Here is a 12,763-nt window from a genome sequence, read left to right as displayed (position 1 = left end):
TTGCTAGAGAGAGTAAAGTAGGAACACTCCCACCCCAACATAGTTCCCGGACTTGACCAGATGTGTTTGAATGCCAACCGTGTTTATTTACTGAGGTGTTGACCAGGGAGTTATTTCTTAGCAGCCATGAAAATTGTCTAACTCATGCCATAGACCATGGCAGTTTAAATTCAGCGCGTCTGAAATCCAGCAGAGGACATGACTTCAGCTCACATGGAGATTCCACTTTCAAAAGTTTTAGCACGTTGTGAAACAGAAATCACAGCTAATTGTGGGGAGGCTCATAGCATGTGTCCTGAAGGAGACAGGCTATGAGATGAGAGGGAACAGCAATTAGTGTGAGCTGATCTCCTCTCAAGGGCCTGGAGTCAAACTGCCCAAGGCACCAATGTAAACAGGTGCTAAACTGTAATAAATCAGAGATGCTGGCACTAATTAACACAGGTTTCCACTCACACAATTTGTAAAAAAAAAAAAAAAAATGCATGGGTTTTGATCCATTGCAGGAGATAGCACTCTGAACTAGGAATTTTTAAAACAAACAACACACCCTTCTTTGGTTGTGTTCAATAGTTCTGTTTTGTGTTTTGAGGGTCTATGTTTGTGTAAGTTGCAAGGTGCTACTCCAGGCCTTGATACCACCTGAGACCAGCTGCCTGACAGGAGCCTGAACTTGGCAGTCACGACCAGCTGAAGGGATGAAACCAAACACCGAATAGTGTCAGGGTGTTTACCCAAACCAAAGACTTCTTTCTTCATTTAAATTTGTCTTGTTGGAAACATTTCAAAAAAGGACAGGGTGTAGTGGCTCACGCCTGTAACCCCAGCACTTTAGGAGGCCTAAATGGGAGGATTGCTTGAGACCAGGAGTTTGAGACCAGTCTAGTCAACATAGGGAGATCCCATCTCTACAAAACTAAAGAAAGTTAGCCTGGTACAGTGTCTTGTGCCTGCAGTCCCAACTACTCAGGAGGCTGATGCAGGAGAATCACTTGAGCCCAGGAGTTCAAGGCTGCAGTGACCTATGATAGCATCACTGCACTCAGTCTGGGTGACAGAGTAAGACCTCGTCGCCCCCGAAAAAAAAAAAGAAAGAAAGAAAGGAAAAGAAACCTTAGATAGCAAAAACAGCGAGAAAGTGGTAAGGTTAGGTAAGGTTTTGCCATCTTTTATTTTTCCCCCAGCACGTTGCCTCAATTTTAGAAAGAGGAAGTGAATTAAGAATCAAATCTGTTTCTGCACAAAATGTTTATTCATAAGAAATCTGTTTCTCGGGGGGAAACTGGGTGATAGGTGCTACATAGGACTCTTCTGTACTATTTTTTTCTTTCTTGTGAGTCTATAATTGTTTCAAAATTAAAAGGTTAAAATAATAAAATGATATTTAAAGCAGAGATAAAAATGTCAGTTTCTTTTCATGTGCACTAAATGCATAGCCGAAGCTCAAAAAAATTTTAAACATCTTCTCTTTGAATAGATTTCAGGTTGTTAACAGATGTGTTACACCTGTGTATTCTTACCTGCCTGTATTTGCAAGAGAATTTTATCATTTTATACATTAACAATGCCAAGAGGTTAGTAGTAGTATACCTCTTTTTAAAGGGGAGAAAGGAGAGAATCAGTCAGGTTATATAACTCATCTACATTTATCCAATTAGTGTAACTGGGTGGGATTTGACCTAAGCCAGTGAAACTCCAAAACTTGACAGCCTTGCAAATTAGCCTCCCAGCAGGCCATGCAAGAACCAGGAAAAGCTCTTTCCCAGCCATCCAGGCACCATGGTCCTCCTTGAATATGATTGACCTTAGAAGTTCTCTTTGGGTTTTTCCCCCTGTTTTTTTTCTCCCTGTAATTCTTCCACATGATCTACCCAAGAGTTTCATGCCTTGAGTAGACTATTCAGAAAGTGAAAACTTGACAGAATCACTAGGTCAAGCACTGACTCAGAAATGTCCCATTTGAACATAGATTTAGCTCTACACACACCGCACATCCGCTATTAAATCACTTACCCACAACTCAATATTTCTGGTGGTCCCATACTACACTTCAGTGGCACTGTGAGACAGGCCCAACAAAAGCCAAGCGGGCTAATGCTAATTATAGCCAGGCACATGCTAGCCCATTGCAGGAGGTAAGTAATTTTATCCTAATAGCCACTCCTCTGAGTAAGTATTATCATCCTCAAGTTACATATGGCTCCCAGAACAGTCAAATTCCTTGCCCAGATCTAGGCAGCCACTGTGTGATACATCTGGATAACTGTAACCTAGTTGGCAAAACCCAAACTTCTCTGGATTTATACTTCTTGTTAAGACTCAGGATCCATGAACCCAATAAACTATGCAAGAGGGATATGGGGGATAAGAGGCAAGAACTCGTGAAGCAATGAACACAAAATGAATTATCACCCAAAGAGAAGATGAACGCAAGGGAGTCCCTCTAACTGTGGAATGTGAGACAGGAAGCAAGAACATGCAGGTTGGAATTTGCAGCTGGCCTGAGATTGAGCCTCTTTTGTTGCTTCTGTGTCACGCTCTTCCTTGCTCCCTCTCCATGCTAGCCACCTTTCGCTGTATAGGCTCCTCTAGTGAGCTATGCTGTTTTTCCCACCCAGGCATCCAGATTGACAATATCTTTGGCCTTGAATGTGATCCCGGACACCTCCTTTACTCCTTCCCTTCTCCCCTCCCTCCTCTTCCCTTTCCTGCTTCTTTCTTTCTTAGAAGCCTTCTTTTGTTTCTTCCTTCCTTCCTTCTCTCCTCTTCCCTCCTCTTTTTTCTCCATTTCTGCTCCAGCAAATTTCTACCTATTGTCAACACCTCAGATCTCTTGTCACTTCCCCAGAGGAAATCTGGTCTGAATTCACAGAGTAGAACACATTCGCCTCCTATTTGTTTCAGAGCCCTCTTTGTTCCTGTCTCTGAATACATCATCTTGATGGTTGATTTCTTGTTCAATACCTCTCTATTATATTAGATTCGAAACTCCATGAAGGTAGGGACAAGTTTTTTTTTTTTTTCACCTCTATATCCCCACAGCTTGCCCAGTGGCTGATAGTAGTAGGTAGAGGATGTAAATATCTATTTGTTAAATCAATACATGTCTGATCAGGCACTATTCATTGCATTTACCACAAATTGTAGTTTTATATATATCTGAAGTCCATTCATTTATTTTCACCTCTTCTAGGCTGTAAGCTCCATCAAAGGAGTAGGTATATCTCTTATCTAATTGTATTTTTCAGCACCTAATAGAGCTGCTGATGCATGGTATATATTCAATAGATAATAAATTAATGAATGATATTCCAAGAAAAAAAGCTTTAAATATCACCTACACTATTATCAGCTTTCTCATTAAACCAAATTGTCTTCAATTCTTCATGAGTAAAAAGCAGAAATATTCATATCATTAGACTTGGGTTCTTATTGCAGTCTAGCCACCAATTGGATGTGAACATGCATTTTTAGATTATTTGCCAATGAAGACCACAATAATTCACTTTTCTTCATTCACCCCTTGAATAGTCTTCTCCCACATTTACTCTGAACTTGGCCATGTGACTTGCTTTGGCCAATGGGACCATGGCATCTAGGATGCAAGCAGAGGCCTGGAAAAGGCTGGAGGCTGGAGTTTCCCCTCTCCCACTGCCCTTAGTGCCCCAAACCCACCGTGTACATGGGCCTAGCTGGCCACTAGATAACAGGAAGCTATGCAGAGGAGAACAGAGGCACCTGGCTGACATGATTGCCAACAAACAGATTCATGAGTGTGATAATCTTAGATCATCCAACTGCCTCTCAACCCACTAGCACAGACCAGATGATCAGGTCTTGTTATGGGTCGAATACGTCCCAGCTAAAATTCATTTGTTAAAGTCCTAACCCCCCACTACCTTGGAATGCCTTCTGACATGGAGACTGGGTCTTTAAAGAGGTAATCAAGTTAAAATTGGGTAATTAGGGTGAGCCATCATTCACTGTGACTCCTCTCCTGATAAGAAGGGGAAATTTGGACAAAGACACAGGGAGAATGCCATGTAAACACAAAAACAAGGATACAAAGACACCCACAAGCCGGGGATAAAGGCCTGGAACAGATCTTCTCCTCATGGCTCTCAGGAGGATCCAACCTTGCCGACTCCTTGATCTCAGACTTCCAGAGGCCAGACTGTGAGACAATACAATTTGACCTTCTGTTTTGTTAGCCACTCAGGGCTCAGTCCTTTGTTATGAAAACCCCAGAAAATTAATATGGGTCCAGACCAAAAGAAGTGAGCAAGTGACACACACAATTATGAACTAAATAAAGTGGTTACTGCTTTAAGCCCCTAATGCAGCAAAAGCTAATTAATAAAGTGGTTAAACTACTCGAGTCTCCCTAGTCTTCAGTTTTCACAATTACAAAATGGGATTTTACATATGTTCCTTACATGGTTATTAGTAAGATTAAGGAGGATAATGCTTGCAAGTTGCTTAGCAATGTAACTGACTCACAATTAGCATTCAAAGAGTGCTTATTTTCATGTTTTCCTTGGGGTGTCTGTTAAGTCAAAACCAGAGTTATTTACCCAAGAAAATATAAACTTCTACCTTTGAATTTATTGTAAATAATGTTGGAGTTTGTTATGGAATTCAACATCAATTTATATAAAACTAGAATGTCAAGTCTCCAGAAGAGGAAACAGGCACTCGGCAAGATCAGCTTAAATGGACCAAGATTAAGGCCGAAAGAAAATGTATTAAGCAACTGATATGTGCCCAAACATTACTGCATGCCTTTATTTACAATATTTTGTTTATTTATTGAAATACTTCTAAAATATAAATATTATCCTTCCATCACAATTGAGGAAATATCATTTCCTCAATGAAGGAAATATAATCCTCAATTATCCCTCATTTTTTAAAAAAGTTTCTAAAATACAAATATTATTATCACTCAAACTACTTGAGAAATAAACTTCAAAGTGCCCAAGATCCTATAGCTAATAATTAATACAGCAAGAATAAGAGGCAGGCATTTCTCCTTTAGTTCCCAGGTTCTTTCCTTAACACCTGGTCCATGTGTCTGGGATGGTCTCAGGAAGCCATTGCAAAATTAAGCCAAAAGATGATAGTTAATGTCCACTATTCATATAAAGTGAGACTCGCAAAACCCACCTTCCATGCTTGAGTGTTGCCCAGCAGTTCCTTTTATTGTGTTCTGGTAACTATGAAGTGCCACATAAGGACACCGTGTGTCTTTAAAAACACCCTTTGCATTGGAAGATTTCAGCCTCTGAAAGCTTCACGTATTGCACTCCAGCCTAAGAAGAGGAAGTCCTGCCAGCCCTCAGGTCAGACCTCTCAGGTCTGTGGCTGCATTTCACAGGAAACCAAGTCTAAAACGGACCTATCAGGAGGTTTTCTGCTGAAGGGCACTGCTTAGCATCGAGAAGAATTCAACCCACCGCCTTACTAATTTCCAGTGCCCCAAGGTCTCTGCACTGCCGCCCCTCCTCACAGGAGACGGACACCTCAGCCTAGATCCCTTGGTGCTCTCCACGCTGTTCAGGTAAACTCATTAGGCCAGTTCTTCTGAGTGAGGATCTCATGGTCATCTCCTTGTCATAAATGATCATCAGGAAAGACCTGAGCAGCAAGTAAAAATGTGTTTCTAAAGTGGAAGTCTGGGCCTTATATATAGCATCAAAGGAGCAAGAAGAAAGCCCTTAACTCAATTGTTAAAGATCCTTTCATTCTTTTGGGAGAAAGAATCAGGATACCTACCCACAGAAAATTAAAAGACTAAATGTTTTCAATCTTCTTTTCCTGGAGCTTGGACTCCCCGACTGTTTGCAACTGAAATCTAAAGACCAGGCCCCATGGCTGGCTTTCCTGGCTGACCTTCATTAAGTAAGCCCTCTAGAAAGAAAGCCTCCATTCAAAGTAGGTCATTCAAAGTATAAGTTAACTCCTGGAGCCCTGTGGAAATATATTTTTAACATTTTCTAAAGTAATACGATTTTCTTTCTGCTTTGGTGTAGAGGAGACTTAGACTTTGGAATCACGCAGACATCCTTCCACTCACAAGAGTAAGGAGCTCAAAAGTGAGGTTAAAGTTGGGGTTAAATTCTTACTCTTGAAAAGTGCCGGGAGTCATCTCTACCAGGCTTTTATTGGATAAAGCAAACAAACTGGAATGAGACAGAAAAGAAAATAACTATCATCAAAATATGGATACTTTGATTTTAAAAGGTGTCGATATGCCTGAACTTTTTATCAATACTGTTTTTATTACTTTACACCAGTGTTACTCATTTGGCTTCTCTGTTATGAGTATTACTTGTCTATTACCTACATGGCTATTTCTCTGGCTGTCTCTGTCTATACTGTGGCGCAGCTCCTCAATAGTGTTGTTCTTTGGATTTCCAGGGGCCTCCCAAACCACCAGGAATAATCATTTCAAATATCAAGAAGACGATGGTAGAGCTGGTTAATTGAAGGCCTACCAGAGAAATGACAGCGCTTCAGAAATCCTCTAAGAAGCTTAAGATACAGTATGCCCTAGAGAAGTAGGAATGGCAACTGGCATTTACTTACCTTCAGCTCCTGCTGACCTAGAGAGCTGGCTATTACTTTCCCTGGTTTACAGGTGAAGAACTTGAGTTCTCTAAGTAATATGTGCAAGGTTGTTCAGTCACTAATGTCAGTAACAGAATTCAGAAGGAAACTGATTTTCCTGGCTGACTGATTGGAATGGTGAACAGTGTTAGTTTGCAGTTTCACAGAGCTCATCCCTAAACTCACTCCTGGGTGGTCTCTGACACCAACCATCTAAATGGTAGTATTTCTTTGTTATTCCCAACAAGCCCTCTCAGATGACTGTATAGGCAAGACCATTTGAAAGCCAGTGCTTATAATCTTCTGTACCATCTGGCCAGCTCTGGCCTGAACACCAGGGGATTCTGTTTCTCGATCACTTTGCCATGAGTCAGGTGCTGTCTTAGAAAGACTGTAGGATTTGACGCCTGATCAAAATGGTGAGGATCCTGACTCTGCCACTTGGACCAGGGATGTTGTTTCATATATGATCCTCATTTCCTCCCCCTTTTTAATAAAGTAAGATCTCATAAGACTTGTATTGACAATTATTTAGCCTCAATAATATAATATTTATATTACGTGAAATATGGTGCATTCTTAACACTTAGCAAGTATTCAGTAAGTGTTGACTTCTTTCTCCATTACTTTCCTTTCCTCACTCCAAATCAGTTCTGATTTTATTCTTAAAACATGACCACAATCAACATAGAATTGATTAATACACATAAGTTTACAAATATTGTATTTTAATAATCTCATTAGAGAATGGTAATATTCCACAGTTGTATAGCCCTATGTAATGTAGGCCTTTGAATACATATTTTCTTCTTGAATGATCTTAACAGCTTAATGAAGTAGGCAGAGCACGTATTAGAGCATTTAAAAGGTGAAACTGGGGCTTAGAAAAGATGAGGAAGGACAACATGGTGAAATGGAAAGAAACAGGGCTTTGAGATTGTCAAAAATGGACATGAATCTAGTGTGTGACTTTACTGTTCGTCTTTAGGTAAGTAGCTTAACCTCTCTGATCTTTAGTTAGCTGTTGTTGGAGTTGTGTAATTTGAAACTGGGAGGAAGAATACATTTTGTGTGTTGCTTCGAGAGTGAGAGCAAATGTGCACACAGTGTCTGACACAGAAGAGATAGCCAGGAACTGGCTAAATTTTCACATGAAGAGTAGCAGACAGAGATCTAGAAGCATCCTTTTCTGAATCCTAGTACATGGAGCAGTTATATCCACTGTCATAAGCTACTGCCAACATCTGCCAAGACTTGAGTTCTGCAGAGTTCTTCTAGGCTGTACCTACCCTCCTAGCATGACAAAGAAACATAAAGTGTTCAAAGCGGCTAAATTACTAACCAGAGAGATAAATACCTGAATTTAAATTCTATTTATGATTTTTAACAGATTAAACCAAACATTCACGATTTTACCAATAAAACTGAGAAGCATCAGGTTAGATATCAGCAATAACGAAAAAATCACACACACACACACACACATACACACACACAAACAGAATTGTGGAATAGAGCTATCATAGGACCAATTTTTGTGTTTATTATTTATTTTTTGTTACTCTTATGGGCAGAATATTTGGGAATCATTATTGTGATTATTCTGCTTAATTTTAATCATGTCTTCCAAAGAGCAATGACTTACAGGTTACCATTTAAGTGTTGCTGATAGACAAGAAACGCTCATCATTTCTCACTTTTTAAGTAGGTGTACTTAATTCTTACTTTACAAAACGGATTCTGAAGTTCAGGCAGGCTCCATGCATTGTCCATTTCATGCAATGAATAGGAGGATATGCCAGAAATGAGACCCAGGTCCACCCGAGCCCCGAGCTCCTGCTCTCGGCATGGTGCTCCATGAGTACCCTGCTGATGTTCCCAGGTTCATGATCAGGGCATCAATCACTGTCTTCCAAACTAGTCAACAGCATTTAAGGAACTCCCAGATACACCACAAGCATTAGCAAAATATGTATTTTAGTTGTTTCTTTTAAATTTCATTGGTGATACTAATTGAAACACTGCTTCCTAAACACTTATGCATGAGAATCAAAATCCTATTGTGTTTAAATGGTACTGTGGTTTGTCATTTGAACTAAGATGAGCCAAAAGGTCTAGATACAACATGAAAATTTAATATCCATGTGATTGGATGATAATCTTTAACAGTGGTAGGTTCTGTGTTCAATTTCGTGTAAGATAAAGATAAGGGCTGACTAATAGCCTAGGCCCAAACTCTGAGAGGGCTGAATTTTTGTGGACTGCCTAAGGACCACATTTCACCATCAGTTTTGAAGACCCAGAAAGCTAATTGTATCCAAGGCACACAGAGTTGATGGAGCTCAAGAGGTCAGTTCACTCTGGTACTTTGACCTATGTATCCATCTTTGGTGATTTTGTTCAAGTGTACTCAAATTATAAGTTCAGATGATTGGCATATTCCCTCCCAGGAGACAAATGTACACAGGAAACTAAATTGATATTGGGCAGTAGCTTGTTGAGCACTAAGTCAGAGCTGTGTAATTTCAAAAGCTGGATTTGCTGAGCTATGGGTGGTCTGATGCCTTGGCAGGCACCTGGAAAGCCAGTCTGCCCCATGGTTACCTGTAGAAATTTATATATATATATATATCAGGACGTCCTCACTCATGGGCAAGTCTAGGGATCTCCCGATCAGCTTTATCTGTCTGGACTCTTTACACAGGACACCTCCACACAGTCCCCATCCCAAACTCCTACTTCTGATACATGCTGTTTTCACTATACCACGCCATCCAGTCGTTGAGACATGGATAGTGTGGGTTTGAAATCAGTTACTTCCTAGCAATATGGTTTTAGACAAGTTATTTAACTCCTCAGAACCTCTGTTTATCCTTTATAAAATGGAATAAAAATATCTACTGCTCGAATTTGTGGTGAGAAATGAGATTCAGTACATAAAAATGCATATCATGGTGACTAGTAATTATTAAATACAAAGTAAATGGTAGTGGCTATTATCATCATTCTTAGCATTATTATTATGAGTTTATTTTATATTTAAACAAACCTTCCTTAGATTCTTGGCCTTTGTCCCTTTTTTGTCTTCTTTTTTAATTATTATTATACTTTAAGTTTTAGGGTACATGTGCACAACGTGCAGGTTTGTTACATATGTATACATGTGACATGTTGGTGTGCTGCACCCATTAACTCATCATTTAGCATTAGGTATACCTCCTAATGCTATCCCTCCCCCCTCCCCCCAACCCACCACAGGCCCCAGTGTGTGATGTTCCCCTTCCTGCGTCCATGTGTTCTCATTCTTCAATTCCCACCTATGAGTGAGAACATGCGGTGTTTGGTTTATTGTCCTTGCGATAGCTTGCTGAGAATGATGGTTTCCAGCTTCATCCATGTCCCTACAAAGGACATGAACTCATCATTTTTTATGGCTGCATAGTATTCCATGATGTATATCTGCCACATTTTCTTCATCCAGTCTATCATTGTTGGACATTTAGGTTGGTTCCGAGTCTTTGTTATTGTGAATAGTGCCGCAATAAACATACGTGTGCATGTGTCTTTATAGCAGCATGATTTATAATCCTTTGGGTATATATCCAGTAATGAGATGGCTGGGTCAAATGGTATTTCTAGTTCTAGATCCCTGAGGAATCACCACACTGACTTCCACAATAGTTGAACTAGTTTACAGTCCCACCAACAGTGTAAAAGTGTTCCTATTTCTCCACATCCTCTCCAGCACCTGTTGTTTCCTGACTTTTTAATGATCGCCATTCTAACTGGTGTGAGATGGTATCTCATTGTGGTTTTGATTTGCATTTCTCTGATGGCCAGTGATGATGAGCATATTTTCATGTGTTTTTTGGCTGCATAAATGTCTTCTTTTGAGAAGTGTCTGTTCATATCCTTTGCCCACTTTTTGATGGGGTTGTTTGTTTTTTTTCTTGTAAATTTGTTTGAGTTCATTGTAGATTCTGGATATTAGCCCTTTGTCAGATGAGTAGATTGCAAAAATTTTCTCCTATTCTGTAGGTTGCCTGTTCACTCTGATGGTAGTTTCTTTTGCAGTGCAGGAGCTCTTTAGTTTAATTAGATCCCATTTGTCAATTTTGGCTTTTGTTGCCATGCTTTTGATGTTTTAGACATGAAGTCCTTGCCCATGCCTATGTCCTGAATGGTATTGCCTAGGTTTTCTTCTAGGGTTTTTATGGTTTTAGGTCTAACATGTAAGTCTTTCATCCATCTTGAATTAATTTTTGTGTAAGGTGTAAGGAAGGGATCCAGTTTCAGCTTTCTACATATGGCTAGCCAGTTTTCCCAGCACCATTTATTAAATATGGAATCCTTTCCCCATTTCTTGTTTTTGTCAGGTTTGTCAAAGATCAGATAGTTGTAGATATGTGGCATTATTTCTGAGGGCTCTGTTCTGTTCCATTGGTCTATATCTCTGTTTTGGTACCAGTACCATGCTGTTTTGGTTGCTGCAGCCTTGTAGTATAGTTTGAAGTCAGGTAGTCTGATGCCTCCAGCTTTGTTCTTTAGGCTTAGGATTGAGTTGGCAATGCACGCTCTTGTTTGCTTCCATATGAACTTTAAAGTAGTTTTTTTTCCAATTCAGTGAAAAAAGTCATTGGTAGCTTGATGGGGATGGCATTGAATCTATAAATTACCTTGGGCAGTATGGCCATTTTCACGATATTGATTCCTCCTACCCATGAGCATGGAATGTTCTTCCATTTGTTTGTATACTCTTTTATTTCATTGAGCAGTGGTTTGTAGTTCTCCTTGAAGAGGTCCTTCACATCCCTTGTAAGTATTTTATTTTCTTTGAGGCAATTGTGAATGGGAGTTCACTCATGATTTGGCTCTCTGTTTGTCTGTTATTGGTGTATAAGAATGCTAGTGATTTTTGCACATTGATTTTGTATCCTGAGACTTTGCTGAAGTTGCCTATCAGCTTAAGGAGATTTTGGGCTGAGATGATGGGGTTTTCTAGATATTTGACCTGAAGAAGTTCTATTTTAAGGTGATTTCTACAGAAACTAATTTCATCATATTCTTATTTATTTTTTATTATTCATCTATCAAAGCCTTGGGTGTCTTACAATTCCTCAAATGTGCTAATCCTCTGAAAATATTAAGATTTAATGAAAAATAATAGAAATTATTTTGGAATACCTTCCTAGCCAAATTTCAAATCCTCAGAGTTTTTCACGGCACTGATGCAAAGAAATTACTCAGTAATTATCTGTGGAACTATTCTTGCATAGCGGTTTATACTTTACAGAGTGCTTTCACTTTCATCATCTTACTTGGTCTTCAAAATAATCCTATGAGCAAAGAAGGATGAGCACTCATAGCCTCATCTTTCAGATTAGAGAAGCTGAGACTCAAGTTGTACAATTCACTGTATAATTCAGCATACCTGGGTTGAAAGATTTGTCTCCCATCTTGCTAGATAAGTGATCCTGAATAAAAGAAGAGAAAAAGAAATAGTTAATTATGCAAGGGGAAGTTTAATTCAGGAGTTAGGTTCTAAATGTACTCGAAGTTACAGATGAAATGATGATCTCATCTGGATCCACACTGTGCATTTGTTCACTGGACAAGCTTGGCTCAGAAGAAGTCTCTTGCACAGAATGACAGGATTGTTCAATGCTGAAAAATCTAGGTCATTTGGATTGTTGCTGTATAACGGAAACTAAATTAAACAAAATGCCCTACATACGGTTCTGGTAAGCAGTAAATGGTATTATTATTATTATTATTATTATTGCTATTTTTATTAGTCCATTTTCACACTGCTGTAAAGCACTTCTCTGAGACTGAGTAGTTTATAACGGAAAGAGGTTTAATTGACTCACAGTTCCACATGGCTGGGGAAGCCTCATGAAACATACAATCATGGCAGAAGGGGAAGCAGCCACCTTCTCCACAAGACAGCAGGAGAGAGAAGAGTGAAGAAGAGCATGGAAAACTGCCTTATAAAACCATCAGATCTTGTGAGAACTCACCCACTATCACAAGAACATCATGGGGGAAACCACCCCCATGATCCAATCACCTCCTCCCTCCCTCAGCACCTGGGGATTACAAATCGAGATGAGATTTAGGTGGGGACAGACAGCTAAACCATATTACTACTACT

General features: G+C 39.6%; 1 protein-coding gene across 3 annotated transcripts in view; it reads left to right on the top strand.

The window, feature by feature from the left end:
* The window catches only part of CLNK (cytokine dependent hematopoietic cell linker), a 248,452-nt gene that overhangs the window by 44,619 nt on the left and 191,070 nt on the right, over positions 1–12,763 (top strand). Inside the window, exon 1 of one of the 3 annotated variants that reach the window (NM_052964.4) lies at positions 5,460–5,560. The exons of the other annotated variants lie outside the window; for them this stretch is intronic. The gene's annotated coding sequence lies outside the window, so the exon portion shown is untranslated. Of the gene's footprint in view, positions 1–5,459; positions 5,561–12,763 lie in introns of those variants that run through there. 3 annotated transcript variants of the gene reach the window in all.

This window comes from Homo sapiens, chromosome 4, assembly GCF_000001405.40.
Source record: "Homo sapiens chromosome 4, GRCh38.p14 Primary Assembly".
In the NCBI taxonomy this organism is placed as follows: Eukaryota; Metazoa; Chordata; class Mammalia; order Primates; family Hominidae; genus Homo; species Homo sapiens.
This window is presented reverse-complemented; position numbering and strand designations above follow the sequence as displayed.